The sequence below is a fragment of the Homo sapiens genome, chromosome 4 (genome assembly GCF_000001405.40).
Source record: "Homo sapiens chromosome 4, GRCh38.p14 Primary Assembly".
Lineage (NCBI taxonomy): Eukaryota > Metazoa > Chordata > Mammalia > Primates > Hominidae > Homo > Homo sapiens.
Window position 1 is genome coordinate 140480173 of NC_000004.12, and position 19170 is coordinate 140499342.

Genomic DNA, 19170 nt, shown 5'->3' on the forward strand with positions numbered 1-19170 from the left:
ACAGAAGTAGGTTCACAAAAATATGGTTGACTGACTTATGACAAAGTTGCAAAGGTAATTGAATGCAGAAAAGACAGTTGATAAAGGTGTTTGAACACTTGGACATCTACATGGAAAAAACTGAACATTGACTTGTTTTTCATGCTGTTTATAAAAATTAGCTAAAAATGTTCATAGACATAAATGTAAAACATAAACCTATGAATTTTTTTAAAAACAAAAAAGAAAACCTTCATGACCCTGAGATAGGTAAAGAGATCTTAGATACAATATAACAATACAAAAAACAAAACAATACATAAAAGAAAAATTCACAAATCAGACTTCATCAAAAATTAAAAATGCTTGCCCCCTGAAAGCATCAGAAAGAGAATGAAAGAGTGTCACCAACTGAAAGAAAGTATTTCCAAATCACATATCCATCTGATATGTATCCAGGATAATATGTAGAACTCTTTCAAAACTCAATGAGAAAACAAAATCACCCAGTTAAAGAAACTGGCAAAACAGGAGTTTGAGAACAGCATGAGCAATATAGCAAGACCCTCATCTCTAAACACACACACACACACACACACACACACACACACACACACACACACACACACACACACGCAGTGGGGCATAGTGGCATGCGCCTGGAGTCCCAGCTGCTCAGGAAGCTGAGGTGGGAAGATCCCTTGAGCTCAGGAGGTGGAGGCTGCAGTGAGCCATGATTGTGCCATTGCATTCCCCGTTTGAACAGACATTTCACCAAAGAAGATATCTGGATGGCAAATAGTAAAAATGTTCAACATCATTAGTTTCTGGGAAATACAACATAAAGCTATGAGATATCATGACATTAGAATGGCTATAATAGGACAGGCATGGTCCCGTAATTCCAGCACTTTGGAAGGCTGAGGTGGGAGGCTTGCTTGAGGCCAGGAGTCCAAGATCAGCCTGGGCAACATAGAGAGACCCCATCTCTACAAAAAATAAAATTAGCCAGGTGTGGTAGCACATGACTGTAGTCCCAGCTACTTGGGAGACTGAGATAGGAGGATTGCTTGGGCCCAGGAGGTGGAGGCTGCAGTGAGCCAGATTGCACCATTGCCCTCTAGCTTGGGCAACAGAGCAAGAGCCTGTTTTAAAAAAAAATGGCTATAATAAACTGGAGTGACTAAACTCTCATACATTGCTGGAGGGAGTGAAAAATGGCACAGCCACTCTGGAAAACAGTATGGCAGTTTCTTATAACATTAAACATATACTTACATATGCCCTGTCAATCCTACTTCTACATATGAATTCTAAAAAAATTAAAACTTCTCTTCATACCAAACACATGTACATGAATGCTTATAGTAACATCTATTTGTAATTGCCCAAACCTGAAAACAACCCAAATGCCTTTCAACTGGTGAGAGGATAAACAATATGTCCATTGAACATCGATACAACGAAATGCTACTCAGCACTATAAACAGAACAATTGGTGACATGACAATTTGGGAAAATCTATGCTAAGTGATAGAAGCAAGTTTCAAAGGGTTACACATTGTTTGATTGCATTTGCATGGCTTCTGGAAATGGCAAAGCAATAAGAACAGAGATCTGAGCAGTGGTTGCCAGGGATTAAGAGTAGGGGGAGGATTGGAGTACAAAGGGGATGCATAAGGCAGGACTTTTTGTCCTGCAGAAATGGAAAGCCACTGAAGGTTTATATGAGAAAAATTAGCTGTATGTTACTAGTCACTCAGGTAAAGCAGGAAGGTTGCCTGACTAATGTAGCAGAAATGATGATGGAAAATGTGGACAAATTTTTGAGATATATAGAATGGTGAATCAACCAGGATTGCTTTTACTGACATGGAAGTATGCAAGAGGTAGAGCGAGGGGTCAGAGGTGATCCTCAGGTTTCTGGTTGCATCTCTTGAATGGATCATGGATGGTGGTGCAATTCACGGAGCCACAAAGCACAGGAAGACTACTTTCGAGGTCAAGATGAGAAGAAGTAGGTCAGTGATATCTCTTACCTGATTTTTGCACGTCTCACAATAAAAGAACCAGTACTGATATAGTTAAGTTTATAGAGAGAAGAGGCCCTAAAATCATAAGACATTGAATCTACATTTCCAAAAACAAAACAAAACAAACAAAATCAACACAAACCTAAGTTTCCTGACAAAATTTCTCTCTTTGTAATTTCATACTTCATTCGATTCAAAACTTTCATCATCTCTTGGGTATTTTTTTCAGTTTTGTTTCTTAAGTGTAGCATATTTTCTTTAAACTCCAAAATATGGTTTCTACAGTTAATTAATTGATTATCTGCAATGAAAACATATGTATATATTTGTACATGTAGCAATGGTGTCACACAATTTTCTATAATAGGTAAGAATGTAAAGTATAAGTTTCAATATAGTTATATATAGTACTATATATGTATTATATGTGTATATATACAGTACTATATACATATAGTATATACCACATGTGTAAATACGTGCATAGGTACAAATATAAAAGACTGGAAAGAAAGAACAAAATGTTAAATATAGTGATATGAGGAAGGTGGGATTATAAATGATTTTTTCCTTTATTACTCTGTGCTCTTCTTTGTTTTACAAATTTTCCATGGTGTGCGTGTATCAGATTTGTATTACAGTGTAATCCCATTAACCCCCCAAAAATACATCTAAGAAATTATCTGAAGAAAATTATGAGGAATATGTACACAGATTTGGACTAAGGATATTTAACATAGGCCGTAGTATTTAGCATTATTTTTAAAAATTGGAACTGACCAAAGTGCCCAACAGTAGGACATTTGCTAAATAAATTACAGAATATTCTTTTAAGAGTTCTGATGGCTCTGATGTCAAATCATGTATAATATACTTAATATTTGTGTTATCTGGGGAAAATTGCTTAATTTTTATTTGCCTCTGCTCCTTCTGGTGTAAATGCATACATAAAAATCTCTGCCTCAGAGCTGTTGTGAAGATGTAGTGCTGATGCACATAAACTAAAGTTTCAGGATACAAAATCAACAGTAGAGTTTCTATCCACTAACAGCAAACTATCCAGGAAAGAAATCAGTCAAACCACACCATTTACAATGGCAACAATAAAATACTTGGGAATAAATTTAACCAAGGAGGTGAAAGAATGGTGCACTGAAAACTATATAATCTGGGTGAAAGAAATTGAAGACACAAATAAATGGAAAGATATCACATGTTCGTAGATTAGAAGAATATTGTTAAAATGTCTATACTACACAAAACAATCTACAGATTCAATGCAATCCTTAAAAAAATCCAATTACGTTTTTCACAGAAACAGAAAAACAACCCCTGCAATTCATATGAAACCACAAAAGACCCCAAAAAGCCAAAGCAATCTTGAATGAAAGAACAAAGCTGGAGACATCACACTACCTGACTTCAAAATATATTGCAAAGCTATGGTAATCAAAACAGCATGGTACTGGCATAATAACAGACACATAGACCAATGGAACAAAATAGGGAACCCAGAAATTCACGCATTTACAGTAACTTGATCTTTGACAAAGTTTCCAAGAACACACAATAGGGAAAGAACAGTGTCTTCAATAAAAACGTGTTTGGAAAACTGGATATCCACATGCAGAAGAACGAAATTAGATCTTTATTTCAACTCGCATAAAAAATCAACTAAAAATGGATGAAAGACTTAAGTGTAAGACCTGAAACTGTAAGATTACTAGAAGAAACCATTAGGAAAAAGCTTATTGACCTGGTCTGAGCAATGATTTTTCAGATATGACTCCAAAATAACAGATAACAAAAGACAAAATAAATGAATGGGATTACATCAAGTTAAACAAGCTTATGTACAGCAAAGTAAACAATTAACAGAGTGAAGAGACAACATGGATTGAAAATATTTCAACCCAAGAGACAATCTATGGGTTAAAATTTGTCCAGTGGGAGAAAATATTTGCAAACCATACATCTGAAAAGAGGTTAATATCTAAAATATATAAGAAACTCAAACAATAGCAAAAAAAAGTAAAAAATTGGCAAAAGATTCAAATAGATATTTGTCAAAACAAGACATGAATATGGCCAAGTACATAAAAAAGTGCTTGATACCACTAATCATCAGCAAAATGCAAATTAAAACAAGGTACCATCTCACACCTGTTAGAATGGCTATTATCAGAGACAAAAGGTGAGAATATGGAGAGAAAGAAACTCTTGCACACTGTTGGCAGGAATATAAATTAGTGTAGCCATTATGGAACACAATATGGAGGCTCCTTACCTTCAGGACATAGGCATGGGCAAGGACTTCATGTCTAAAACACCAAAAGCAATAGCAACAAAAGCCAAAATTGACAAATGGGATCTAATTAAACTAAAGAGCTTCTGCACAGCAAAAGAAACTACCATCAGAGCGAACAGGCAACCTACAGAATGGGAGAAAATTTTCACAACCTACTCATCTGACAAAGGGCTAATATCCAGAATCTACAATGAACTCAAACAAATTTACAAGAAAAAAACAAACAACCCCATCAAAAAGTGGGCAAAGGATATGAACAGACACTTCTCAGAAGAAGACATTTATGCAGCCAACAGACACATGAAAAAATGCTCATCATTACTGGCCATCAGAGAAATGCAAATCAAAAACACAATGAGATACCATTTCACACCAGTTAGAATGGCGATCATTAAAAAGTCAGGAAACAACAGTGCTGGAGAGGATGTGGAGAAATAGGAACACTTTTACACTGTTGGTGGGACTGTAAACTAGTTCAACCATTGTGGAAGTCAGTGTGGCGATTCCTCAGGGATCTAGAACTGGAAATACCATTTGACCCAGCCATCCCATTACTGGGTATATACCCAAAGGATTATAAATCATGCTGCTATAAAGACACATGCACACGTATGTTTACTGCGGCACTATTCACAATAGCAAAGACTTGGAACCAACCCAAATGTCCAACAATGATAGACTAGATTAAGAAAATGTGGCACATATACACCATGGAATACTATGCAGCCATAAAAAATGATGAGTTCATGTCCTTTGTAGGGATATGGATGAAATTGGAAATCATCATTCTCAGTAAACTATCACAAGGACAAAAAACCAAACACTGCATGTTCTCAGTCATAGATGGGAATTGAACAATGAGAACACATGGACACAGGAAGGGGAACATCACACTCTGGGGACTGTTGTGGGGTGGGGGTAGGGGGTAGGGATAGCATTAGGAGATATACCTAATGCTAAATGACGAGATAGTGGGTGCAGCATACCAGCATGGCACATGTATACATATGTAACTAACCTGCATATTGTGCTCATGTACCCTAAAACTTAAAAGTATAATAATAATTAAAAAATAAAAATAAATTTTATTAAAAAAATTAAAAATAGAACTGCATAACGCAGCAATCCCACTGTTGGTTATGTATTCAAAGGAAATAAAGTCAGTATGTTGGATGGATGTTATGGCTCACACCTGTAAACCCAGCACTTTGGGAGGTCAAGGTGAGAGGACTGCTTGAGCTCAGGAGATCAAGGCCACAGTGGAGCCATGACTGCACTGCTGCACTCCAGCCTGAGCAACAGAGCAAGACCCTGTCTTAAAAAAAAAAAAAAAAAAAAAAAAAAAAAAAAAAAAAAGCAATGATGATACATTTGGGTTGAAACATTTAATATTTTTTCACTTATCTGTTTTTTCTGAAGAAGAGCACACAAGTGGACAGCCTGTGGCAAAAATTGGATAATTCCTCTCCCCTGCTCAAAACCCTCCAAAATATTTCTCATCACACTTAGAAAAATAACCAAAGTCCTTACCATGACCCACAAAGCCCTGTGTGATCAGTCCTGAGTTCCTCCCTGGTCTCATTTCCTACCCTTCCTGCCTCACTCTGAGGGAGCCCAGCATCACCCACACTGGCCTCCTTGCTGTTCCTCACACGAGCCAAACACTCTCCTACCTTAGGGCTTTGGCTTTTGCAGTGTTCTCAGCACTGAATGCTCTTCCCCCATATCCTTTCATTGTTTTATCACATATCCTGTTGTGGCAGAAGGTCCCTAATTTCATTGTTTTCTGCTAAGACATTACCACCTCAGGGAAGCCTACCCTGCCATCCTTTGTAAGATAGCACAGCCGTCTTTCCCTTATTATTATTTTTTTAATTATACTTTAAGTTCTGGGGTACATGTGCAGAATGTGCAGGTTTGTTACATAGATATACATGTGCTGCACACATCAACCTGTCATCTACATTAGGTATTTCTCCTAATGCTATCCCTCCCCTAGCCACCCACCCCGAAACAGGCCCCGGTGTGTGATGTTCCCCTCCCTGTGTCCATGTGTTCTCATTGTTCAAATAACTTATCACCACCACTTCATATTATGTATTGACTGCTTTCATGTTTCACTCCAGAGATTTCTAGAATGAGAGCAGCGAGAACATTTTACTACTAAATTCCAACTATCTGAAACAGCGATTTGCATATAGTTCTTATACAAATATATGCTCGATGAATAAATAATGAAATGAATGGACTTGTCAGTATAAGAACTAATTTTAGTGATTCTTAAACTGAATCATGCTTTAATCAAAAGAACTGCACCTATCCAGATAAGCCTTAAATATTCATATTGTAGATACTATTTGAAGATGCTTACAAACCTTAGAGGGAGATGTAGTTTAAGCTCATGATATTAGGGTTTCCCAGGTAATGTTCTCTCTGCAAAATGGATTGTGTGTTCCGAGTTAATATATCATGGGTGATGCAACCTATGTGGGTTTCTACATTGTAGGTCAGTCCCTAGGGATCAATTTGGTAAACATGAAAAGAAAGAGTTTTCTCCAGAGGAAGCAGTATTTACAGCAACAATCATAAAGAAATGTTAAAGGACATAATCTCTAATCTTAGATCTGCTTCTTGTACATTTTTCCCTGGTAATTCATTCATCAATATTCTATTTAAAATATTGAAATTACTTGCATATTTACCCAGGTATTTAGTGAGGATGAAATGTTATAACACTATTTTGCAAAGGTTTGAAATAAACAATAATTAGATGCTTTGAGTCAATTGGGCATCTCTGTAGTGAAATTATGAAAACAAACACCAGTTCAAGTGTGCAATGGGTGAATGTGACTTCTGCACATTAAAAATAGGTTCCAGGCTAGATCCTAAGTGCCACTGATTTGTGCCTCTCACAGCAAGGCTCCAAGGCATTGTGTTCCAGTAGAAATAAAATGCAAGCCACATCTGTAATTTAAAATTTGCTAGTAGTCACATTTTAAAAAGTGAAAAGAAACGAATGAAACAAGTGAAAGTAATTTTAAACAATATATTTTATTTAATACAATATATCCAAAATGTTTCAACATAAAAGTAAACAATGGGCTATTTTACATTTTTGTACTAAATATTCTAAATCCTGCGTGTATTTTACACTCACAGTACATCTCAATTCAGATGCTAAATTTTAATAATTACAGTGAAATGTAATCCTACCAAAACAGTACAGTTTTGCTTAATGGAGAAATATTTTGCACAATTTCAGTTATTAAATGTAGACTCAAACTAGTTAACATAAAATAAAAAATGCTGTTTCTCAGGTGCACTCACTAGCTGCATTTCAAGTGCTTCAAAGCCACCTGACTACCACACTGGATGGCATAAGTCTCCGGCATCAGCTGTGAGCTTGTTAGAAATGCAGTATCTCAGGCCTCACCCCAGACTTCAGATGCAGACAATCAGATTGTGCATTTTAATAAGATTCCCAGTTGACTACTATGCACATTAAAATTTGAGAAGGGCTGTGACAGACCACTTTCATGGTTTTCTCTTTATCATCATTGATACTACCATAGCTCAAGCTTTATTGCCTTTAGCTGCACTATTATAATTGCCTCTTAATTGGTCTCTCATCTCCAATCAATGATTAATCTTCTGGAAACACTGCTCAAAGATTATAAATAGTTCCCTGAGTGCTTACTTGCCCTGGTCTACCAGGTCCTATACAACATGGCCATGAACGTGACTTGACCTCACTTCATTCACTAAACACCTCCAGTAGCAAGAAGCATGCTGAGATTTCTATTCTTCCATTAAATACTTGCCATGTGCTATGTATGTGGTAGGTAAATAAACATGAATAAAATCTGGTTTCTGCTCTAAATTAAATTGATATGAATAAAATCTGGCTCCTGACAATCAGACTGCAAGGAATGTGGGAATGGTGCATATATTTAAACTTTACTAATTATAATATATTGTTAAAATGGAATTATCCTCAAAGTGCCACAGGCACAGGAAGGCAGGAATGATTAATTCTTAAGGAGAACTGAGGAGTAGGAGAGGTGGAGAAGGTTTCAGAGAAGAAGGAAGACTTGTGAACTTGTATGTACAGAAGCTTGCCTACAGCAGAAAGAAGGGAAGGGCATTCCAGCCTCAGAAAACAACACCATAAGTGCATAGAGTGTGAAATGGTATGGTATGTGATATAGTTTGAATATCTATCCCCACCAAATCTCATGTTGAATTGTAATCCCCAATGTGGGAGGCATTTGAGTCATGGGGGAAGATGATCCCTCATGGCTTGGTGCTATCCTCATGATAGTGAGTTCTCTTGGGATCTGGTTAAGTGTGTGGCACCTCCCTGCCACTCTCTCTCACTCCTGCTTTTTCCATGTGACATGCCTGCCTGCTCTGGCCTAGCCTTCTGTTATGAGTAAAAGCTCCCTGAGACCTTCCTAGAAGCCAAGCATATGTCAGCACCATGTTTGTAGGGCCTGCAGAACTGGGAGCCAATTAAACCTCTTTTCTTTATACATTACCCAGTCTCAGATATTTCTTTATAGCAATGCAAGAATGGCCTACTACAGTTTATCATGGGGAACGTACGTAAGTCACTCAGGGGGTAAATAGAAGGGCAAAAGGTATAATGATAAAGCATTGGCAGGTCACTTTAAATTTATTATTAGTATACTTGTACCCAATGTGGTTCCAAATAAAGAATATCTAAGGTAATTACTAGAAGATGAAACTAAAAACATAAAGTACATTTCAGATTACTCCCCCCATGTATGCTTTGCAATAATCAAATCAAACTATGTACTAAGCCCTTTAAATTCCCTGTGAGTGGCCCCTCTGTGCATTAGGTTTTATTGCAGAATATATTAGACATTACAAAGCGTATATAAGACAGTTTAAAGGATAATAATAAAAATGAACATCCATGAACCCATCACAAACTACCTTAGCCTTAGATATTCTACTTGTTTCCTTCCCAGATCCAATTCCCCTTCCTCCCTACCCCCAGATAAGCAGAATCCTGAATTTTGTATTAATCATTTATTGCTTTCCTTTACAGTTTTACTATTTTTGCAAGCTGACTTACACTTGGTTTTATACCTTAATAAATAAAACTCTGTACTTGCTTCTTTAGCTCAATTTATGCTTTTGAGATTTATTTATATTGACGAATCAAGCTGTAGTTTATTCATTTTTACTGATGTAAAATGTTCCAATGTACTGAATATACCACAACATGTTTGTCTCTTCTATTGTTGGTAACAATTATAAGAAATGCTACCAAGAATATTCTGGTACATGTCTCCTAGTAAACATGTTCAAGAGCTTCCCTAGGATATATCTGGTGGTAGAGATGTTATTTAAAATATTTAACAACATATATGGTATAGGTACTGATCAGTGAGAACATATGTTGGCCATAAACCATTGATAAGGCTGTACACTCATTTCAACCCTACTAGTAGTGGAATTCCTAAGACATAGGAAAGGCATATGTTTCATAACGGAAGAGACTGAATGTGTACTCCTCCAAGGGAAGTTTGAATTCCCAAAGCTCCACATTCTCACTAAATGTCCAATTTCCTGATTTAAGGAACAGAATAGCATGAACTGGTAACTCATGTTTTAAACTTGCATTTTCTTGATTGCTAGTGGTTTTTCTATGTTTATTCAACATTTATGTTGCACTTTGTTTTAGAGTCTTCTTTGCTGATATTGATAAACCACAAGACCAGCCCAAACCAGACCTACTTTGTTGAAAGGTGTCCAGTTACCTTGTAGGTGTAGCAGAGCCCAAAATTGCAATTCATATAGCCTGGGCAAGTGCAATAGCAAAATCTTTGACCTCTAACCACACCCAGAACCAAAGAATCCTCCCTCTGAATCAAGAAGCCTGGGACGTGACCAGAACCTGAACGCTGGAACTCTTTCATATGCGATGGGTCTGTTGGCCCAGAAGATCTGGAGCTAAAATTTGCCTCAACATACCTTACCATCAATGGCCAGACTGGAAGCCCTCCAATTAGACCCTGCCAAGCCAAAGTTCCTAAATCTTTTCCCTTGTCCTATGATTCCTTAAAACTTGGCCCAGACCCAATAAGAGACAAACATTTGAGCCTGAGTCTGATCTCCTTGCTGGCTGGTTTTGCAAAAAAAAATTTCTTTTCTCAAAAGCCAGTGTTAAAGTTATTGGCTTCTGTATACATTGGGCCATGAGCCCATTTGCTTGATAACATAATGCAGCTACATCAACTTTATTTTGGTTTGGGTTTGTGGGTATTTTTCCATCCCTTTTCTTCCAAAATTTCTGTCTTTAAAATTCAAATATGTCTCTTTTAGTAACCATCAAGTTGAATTTTGTCATATATCCAATCAGGAAATATTTTAATTTCTTTTTTGGGACACTTAATGCAATTAGTGATATAGTTATGCTATTGTACTATTATTTTAGTGGTTCAACTAGATATTCCAACATGAATCCTCGACTTAATAGTCAAATACCAATTCTTACATTCTCACTTCTCAATAGTTCTACAAGTCTAGTACAATTTAACTCCATTTCCCTCTCTTACCTTTTCTTGTAATTGCTGGCATACACTGTTATTGTACATGTATTTTAAATTCCACAGGACATTTCAATTATTCTCTTGAATAACCCACATTTGGACCTTGGATTCTGCTTACTTACAGCTGCGTCTGAGAACTCCTCTTCTGCCCCATGGACAGTAATAACAATCTATTTTGTCGGCATATTCCCACAAGGTCATACACATTGGTGAAACACTCCCCCAACTGGATGGAGATGAGGGTGTTTCCCTTCCATCAAGGGAAGAGAGATCCCCAAGAAATAAAGTTGGGTGCTCTAGAATGAGCCCTCTCCTCACCAATTCAGGGGCTGAGGAACATTTTTACCCTGAAAATTGTGGAACTGCTAGACCTACCAAAATTCTCATGCTGCCAGATGAAAAGGGGCAGGAGAAAGGGAGAGATCCTACTAAGCCAAGAGGGGGAACATATGAAGTAGCCTGCAGGCATGCAGCTTGAAGCACCAAAGACATAGGAGTCGGCTGTGGCTCAAGTGAATATTGCAGGTCATCTACAAGAAGGTCATCTGCCAGGCAGAAGATTCCCAGCAACAAGGGGCTCTGGCAAAGGCAGAGGTAGGGAGGAAGAATTCAAGCAGGAGATGGATATCCCTTAAGGGAACAGAGAGCGGAGACACCACAGCAGGCCCTCAGAAGCAGCCACAAACTACCCCTACAAGAGCATCAGATATCTGCCACATCCAAGTGTCTTCCAGAGAAATTGAAACCACCAGGCTCCTGTCATGGAAGAAAACCTCTGTCCCCCCAGCTCTTTCCCACCCTAGTACCACAAGGGAAGCACAAGAAAGGAGGAGGGGGGTGCAGCAGACTGTTTCTCCAAAGATAGCCTCCAGGTCAAATGGTGTTGTGCACTTTGACCTTCCCAGTCAGTCATCAAGAAGTCAATTTCTCTACCTCCTTGAATCTGAGTTCACCCTATGACTGCTTTCACTATAGTAATATATAGCAAAAGTAATGCAGTACTAGCTTGGGGTACAGCCTTTAACTGGCTTGGCAGTTTCCACTTCCTGCCTTTTAAAAGGTAGTTGCCTTGTGGGGGGGAAAATGTATAATATTGCTAAGACCACAATGTTGTGAGAAACAAACACAAGCCACGAGGAGAGGCTTTGGAGGATGCACCACTGTGTCGGGAGAGGAGAGAGAGATGCTGGAGCTGTGAGGGAAAAAGACTTCTTAGTAGTAGAGCCTTCAGCTCCAAATGTCCCAGTTGACACCACCTCAGATTATAGATAAACTGCCCAGTGGAGCCCTTCGTGAATTTCTGATTACTAAATCAAGAGTTTAAAATAAGTGATTGTTCGAGATCAGGAGATTGAGACCAGCCTGGCCAACATGGTGAAACCTGTCTCTATGAAAAATACAAACATTAGCTGGGAGTGGTGGCACGCGCCTGTAGTCCCAGCTACTCAGGAGGCTGAGGCAGGAGAATTGCTTGGACCTGGGAGGTGGAGATTACAGTGAGCCAAGATTGCACCACCGCCCTCTAGCCTGGATGACAGAGCAAGACTCTGTCTCAAAAAAAAAAAAAAAATTGATTGTTTAAAGCCACTAGTGTTTGTGGAAGTTTTGCCATTTTCTCATTTGCCATTCCATTTTCCTTGAACCACAAGTCTTGCCTGTCCAGCAGGGAAAGGAAAAGAAAGTTTCAAGTTGACTAGGAGATTAAAGTTTTAAAAATAATGAAACAGGCTCTTTAAAAACAGGAATGAGACTGAATAACCGAAAGTGACCAAAAAAGACACATAATAAGTCTTCATTGTCTCTCTAAACATCTAAGCAGAGAAGGGGGCTCAATAGAACACATATGAGGAGTTACTGGAAAAATAAAAAGTCATTTGTATTTATATCCCAAGTTGAACTTTTTCAAAAATACATTCTTATTGTTTTTACATCTTTAAGTGAATTGGGTACTGTATGTCTATCATTTCCATTTTCTTGCTTCCTTATTCCCACTATACAAATTCTTTTAACTGATTAAAAAGTTATATATGCAAAAGAAGACATGTAATACATAGGTAAGTTCCGCAACATAATGTAAAATTAATAGCTCATCACTCAAGCTAATAACTGAAAGTTACCCGATGCCTCGGCTACCACCTCTGATTCCTCTCCCACCCCATCTCATGATGATACTACGGTACTCTCCCAAACTGTATCTGTTTATTGTTCCTTTACTTTTTTTTTTTTTTTTTTTTTTTCCTGAGATGGAGTCTCGTTCTGTCACCCAGGTTGGAGTGCAGTGGTGCGATCTCGGCTTACTGCAAGCTCTGCCTCCCGGGTTCACACCATTCTCCTGCCTCAGCCTCCCCAGTAGCTGGGACTACAGTCGCCCACGACCATGCCCGGCTAATTTTTTGTATTTTTAGTAGAGATGGGGTTTCACTGTGTTAGCCAGGATGGTCTCGATCTCCTGACCTCGTGATCTGCCCACCTCGGCCTCCCAAAGTGCTGAGATTACAGGCATGAGCCACCGTGCCTGGCCTGTTCCTTTATTTTTTAAAATGTAATTTTATCATACTTATGGATGTCCCTATATAAGATGCTGTTTAGTTTTCTTTGTTCCAAGAGTTTCTAAAAATTGTGTCTGTTGACACTCTGTCTTTATAGGCCCCTCTAAATTTCCTTTGTATGGTCAAACTGGAAACCTGTTGCTTGTCCCAGATTTCCTTGCAAGTGGTATTCTCATTATATTTTGCCAATGGGAGGCAGTTGTGCTAAAATAGAGGGTGTATGAAAGGAGGTAGTATTTCTCCTTTTGGTGATTCTTCCACCAAACTGCCAGCCTTTGCTGGGGTGTCAGACATTGAGGCAGTGGCCAGAGGCAAGAGTAGTAGCAGGCCAGCCACAGGGCCAGGATTGTCAATGGAAGTGGCAGGCAAGTGTTGGCTTTTCCAAGGGAGGTAGCTAGCAGATGACTAGGGGCTCCTGGAGTGGTTGCATTACCCAGGAAACACTCTCAAAGAAGAAAATCTGGAATTGGTTACCTGATGTACTTGAGCTTAAATGCAATGACAACCCACCACACTGCCCATGGAAAACAGGACACTAGAATTCCATGACAGGCACTGGCAAAACAGTTACCTTAATTATCATCTCCAGGTGACCCGGATGAAGTACTACTCAAACTGAGACTCTGGCGATCAAGGGCCTGCTGCATTCACTAAGAATGTGGGAATGATAACTTCAAAGATTGTGAGTGAGATGGCTTTTCATTACTAGAGAATGTTCTCGCAGCATTATTTGACACTATTGCACGCTCCTCTTTGAAATATCTTCTTGGTTTAGCTCTTTCAGTTTTCTAGCTTTTCCTTTACTTTGAAATACTGAAATTCCCCAAGACTTACTCCTTTTGTTCACTCCCTAGGGGATCTCATCCCATTTCATGGCTTTATATGCTAACAGTTCTCAACTTTATACTGCTAATCCTGATGCAGACTGATATATCCAACTGCCTATTCAACACTTTCACTGGGATCTCTAATAAGCACTTCATACATAAGAGAAATAGTGACCTTACCCCCAAACCTGCTCCTACCCCAGCCTTTGCTATTTCGGTAAATGGCAGCTCCATTTATCTAATTATTTAAGCCACTCATTCTCAACCAGGGATGATTTCTCCCTCAGGAGACATTTGCCAATGCCTGGAGACACTGTCACAACGGGAGAGGGGGTGTTGCTCCTGGCATATCCTGGATAGAACCCATGGATGCTGCTAAACATTCTACAATATATAGGACTGCCCTCTCCCCGCAAAGAATTACCCAACCCAAAATGTCAACAGCGCTAAGGTTGAGAAACCCTAGTTTAAATTAAAAATTCTTGGAGCATCCCGCAATTCTCTTCTTTCTTTCATAGCACACATCCAATAATATTTAAATGTATGTGTGAGATCATGTTACTCTTCTGCACAAAACTCTGATGGCTTCCGATCTTACTCACAATAAAATGCAGAGTCCTTACTATGGTCCCCATGATATAATACTTCTAACACTCTCCCCCCTGTTCACATTGGCCTCCTGGCTGTTTCTCGAACAAATCAAGGAGATTCCACCGCAGGGCCTTTGTACTTGCTTTTCCCTTTGTCTGAAATACTCTTCCCCCAGATATCCACACATGATGCTTCCTCGTTTCATTTGAGAATCTATTCAAATATAACTTGCTCAGGTAATCCTTCTCTGACAGCCCTTTCCTTTAAAACAGCACTTTCCTTTCCCTAACCCTGCCAACACCTGATATCATATAGTAATTATATCATTTGTTTGTTGTTTACTTCCCGTAAGCAGAATGTAAGCTTCATGAAAGGGAGGGGGTGTCCTTTGATGCCGTTCACTTGGTGCCTACAACATGAATAGGTAGTTATTAAACTCATTGAGTCTTTCATTATTTCAACCATTCATTTATTCATCCAATATTTAGCATGCTCATTACATGCCATGTAGTTTTCCACATGCTGGGACACAGTAGTGAACACAACAGAACAGGTAAAAACAGGAAGTATGTTCTGTCCTCACAGAGCTTGCATATTTGTTCATCAAATTATGAACTGTTAATACTATGAGCTCATAAAAATGAACAAAAAGGTTATCTATCCATAAAATTTTGTTAATTTAATTTAATTTATTTTTTAGTTTTTATTTTTTCCAAGATGGAGTCTTGCTCTGTCACCCAGGCTGAAGGGCAGTGGCGTGATCTCGGCTCACTGCAACCTCTGTCTCCTGGGTTCAAGCAATCCTCCTGCCTCAGCCTCCTGAGTAGCTGGGATTACAGGCACACCACCATGCCCAGCTAATTTTTGTATTTTTAGTAGAGACTAGGTTTCACCATGTTGGCCTGGCTGGTCTCAAACTCCTGACCTTGTGATCCACCTGCCTCAGTCTCCCAAAGTGTTGGGATTACAGGTGTGAGCCACCCCACTGCGCCTGGCAAAATTTAGTTAATTTTAAAGAGGGAGAAAAAATAAAGCACTAGGTGGTGGCCATCTTTCTAATAAACGTTCCCAAATTTTCACTGATAGGAATGACAACTATAGATTAAATTTTTAAGACATTGGGACTATCTCTGGTGCTTTATAAAAATCATTACTTCAGAAACTAAGTGAAGTATGTGTTTTCTTTTGTTGATGTGAGAACAGCTCATTATAGGATTGATATCCTAATTATTTTAGAGCTAAGTTCCACAGAAAGGCATACCTAAAAAATGAAAAAATCTGATTTGTCTGTTATTTTAAGAGTGTTTCATTCTCAAGAACAGTATCTTGCTTCTGAACTTGAACATATGAATGATGATGACATAAATGCTTTGAGGAATCGAACTTCTTTTTCCCTGTCATAACCAGAAAACACACCAAAATGATTGTAAGGATCTCAAAGTCTACAGTTTCATTATAAAATCATTAATGGTATTAAAACTTCTGAGGTTAACATTCTAAATTACCTTCCAAAATTACTAGGCTGGGTGTGGTGGCTCATGCCTGTAATCCCAGCACTTTGGGAGGCCTAGGTGGGTGGATCACCTGAGGGCAGGAGTTTGTGACCAGCCTGCCCAACATGGTGAAACCCTATCTCTACTAAAAATACAAAAATTATCCGGGCATGGTGGCACATGCCTGTAATCCCAGCTACTCAGGAGACTGAGGCATGAGAATTGCTTGAACCTGGGAGGCACAGGTTGCAGTGCAGTGGCCACTACACTCCAGCCTGGGCAACAAGAGTGAAAACTCTGTCTTAAAAAAAAAATTACTATAAAACTTTACATTTTGCTTTCTAATTAAAAGAAATCATTTATTTTTTGTTATAAGTGTGCTTATTGTTCATTGTGCTAAAATAGACATTTGGATGATGTTCTTTATAGAAAATGAAGAGGAGGGAAACTATGTCAAATGACTATAAAGATTAGTAGAAATATTATAATGCAGATAAATTAATATGCATTCCTAATCTTTGAAACAAGCAGGATATAGAATATTTTGTGTATATGATGATAAAATCTAGTATTAACTGGAGGGCTAAAACATGAAGCCACTCCCAAACTTCAACCTCAGCACTCCTACCAAGATTACCTTGTGTGCACTTAAGTCATACATGTGTAAATAAACGAAAATTTAACTGAAAACAACGTAAGAGCAATCGTGGAAGGCTGGGTTCATAATTTACAGGGTTCCTAAGTCTTAAACTGAAAAATTTAACTACTTGAATGCTAAAATTTTACACCGCGGACAACTAGGGTTAAAAGATCAAATATAGGATACCTGGTTAAATTTGAAATTAAAATAAAAAAGACGTAAATATTTTAGAATAATTATGTCCCATGCAATTTTTTATACTAATATATAATTGTTTATCTGAAATTGAAATTAAACTGGGCAACCTGTACCTTTGTTTCCTAAATTGGCACTTCTATGGGCCAGGAGAAATTGCATCTTGAGTGTGTGTGGGAGCGGAACACAGGCCTGCGGTCCATCGGAGAAGTCCAGGCGCTGGGCCGGCGCTGTAGGTGGTCAGGGACGTCCCTCTCCTTTCTACCACCTCTTTTCAGGTACGCAAAAAACACTCCAGGGAGGAGGGAGGCATGAAGCGGGGCCTGGTGATGTAACCCAGACCACGAAGGAGGAAAGATGCGGACAGATGCTGGCTGTGTAAGAGCAGTTCTTGGGGTCAGACAGCCATAGTTTCGAGAAGGAAGAACAGGAGAGGGGAAAAGCAGTGCACAGACGGGGTCCTTGAACCTTTGAGGAAAAGGGAGCGGCGGGTACCCTGGGCCAGATGCGTTAGCGCGCGTGCAGGCCGGACGCGGCCCTGGAGGAGGAGGTCGGGGCGCGGGTTACAGCCCAGCCGCCGCTGACCGGGGTAGGCGCGGCCTCGGGAAGGCACCGACGCGGGCCTCCCAGTGCCAGCGCGGGCGGCCGCCGCCAGCTTCCCGCATCGCCTCCGCACCCGCCGACCCTGCCCCGCCTGCATTCCTGCAGCCCCGAAGCCCCCGCGGCGGGAAAGGAGGCGGGAGGAGGGCCCGCCGCTTACTGGTTTGAGTTATCCTGTAGATGGAGAAGCAAGAGAAGCTGAACAACGCGACGGCGACCAGGGTGATCAGCAAGTTCACCTGCTTGGTCCTCATGGCCCTGGCCAGGCTGCGGGAGGCCGGCGGGTGGAGGCGGCGGATAATGCCAGGGACGGGGTTGAGCGCGCAGAGCCCCCTCCCCGCGGTGCCGCGTGGGTCCCCAGCACACCCGCCCTGGGAAGCCGCCTTGCCACAGAACTTCTGCACCTTTTGCTTCCTGCTCTAGGGTTCAGCGCGTGCTATAAACCGCTGGCCAGGGCTACTGGTCGTTAAAAACGATAAACTAGGGAAAGCGCCCCATTGCCTGGCACGTGGTGGGTGCGCAATAACTGTTAGGTGACTTTCCTCGAGTGGCTTATCAAAGCTTTACCCAAGCTGAGAAACACTAGAGCATCAGTAGGATGAGACTCTCTATGGACTCCTTGATCTCTCCCCTCTAAGCTCTCCTCTCATTGAGGACTCACTGGCAGTCTGTTATAATATCTGAACATTCTACTTCAAATCAGCCCTGCACGTTGGAAGGGCTGGCTTCTGTCCCCTTGAAGGGGAAGAAAGATTTGAACATACCCCAGCCTGAGGATGCCACTATAGCCTGCGTGTTCTCATGTGCTAATGGCTAGGAGCTGTGACTTTCCATTGAGCCGGGACCCAGCCAGATCTCAAAACAAGGAGCCAGGAGAGACACCTCAACTATGTTCTCCTTCACCCCTTCAGTCTGTTGCCGGTGCTTGCCTTTGGCTGAGCTCTACTGAAAACCAGAAGACAAGAAAGTTCAGCTTGATGTACTGGATGGTCCAAACCTGGCTTCTAGGCTGTGGAGCAGGTTGGAGAAAACGTAGGGAAGATTAGGGTGGGAGAAGGAAGCTATTCAGCATAAAGAGAGATCTCCATACTCAGCATTTCACTGCCTTCTTACTTGAGGTCCAGTTTTTGCATTTTCAGTTGCCTACCCAGCCCTTCAGCTTGAATGTCCCACATCAGATTCAAGATGTCCAAACTTCCTCACCAAGCTATTAATAGCTGTTTTCCCAGAGTCCCTTGATTTTATCAGTGGCATCATAGTTCTTCTTACAATCATTTGGACTCTGGTTCATTATATCTCATTATTTATAAAATCTTTAGTTACCTAAAGGATTGTGTTTCTGTTGCTAGCTACTATCCCCAATACTCAGATGAT

General features: G+C 40.0%; 1 protein-coding gene across 16 annotated transcripts in view, besides 2 other annotated features; it reads right to left on the reverse strand.

Annotated features, from left to right (window-relative positions):
* MGAT4D (MGAT4 family member D) overlaps positions 1–18121 on the reverse strand; it is a 56032-nt gene extending 37911 nt beyond the window's left edge. For 8 of the 16 annotated variants that reach the window (XR_938697.3, XM_011531656.4, XM_011531654.4 and 5 more), the window contains exons 1-2: positions 17957–18121; positions 2155–2313 (exon numbers count right to left, since the gene is read on the reverse strand). Coding sequence is in view for 12 of the 16 variants with exons in the window: in XM_011531656.4 (XP_011529958.1) it covers positions 2155–2313; positions 17957–18050 (253 nt within the window). In the remaining 4 variants the exon portion in view is untranslated. Of the gene's footprint in view, positions 1–2154; positions 2314–6695; positions 6717–17312; positions 17735–17956 lie in introns of those variants that run through there. The other 8 variants (XM_011531665.4, XM_011531658.4, XM_011531653.4 and 5 more) reach the window with 7 other exon arrangements.
* Positions 17641–18142: an enhancer, noted in NCBI's record as "H3K4me1 hESC enhancer chr4:141418967-141419468 (GRCh37/hg19 assembly coordinates)". NCBI's record gives its function as "activates a minimal SCP1, AML or CMV promoter by ChIP-STARR-seq in primed H9 embryonic stem cells {active_cell/tissue: H9 hESC(primed)}" and the evidence as "EXISTENCE:reporter gene assay evidence [ECO:0000049][PMID:30033119]".
* Positions 18143–18642: an enhancer, noted in NCBI's record as "H3K4me1 hESC enhancer chr4:141419469-141419968 (GRCh37/hg19 assembly coordinates)". NCBI's record gives its function as "activates a minimal SCP1, AML or CMV promoter by ChIP-STARR-seq in naive and primed H9 embryonic stem cells {active_cell/tissue: H9 hESC(naive and primed)}" and the evidence as "EXISTENCE:reporter gene assay evidence [ECO:0000049][PMID:30033119]".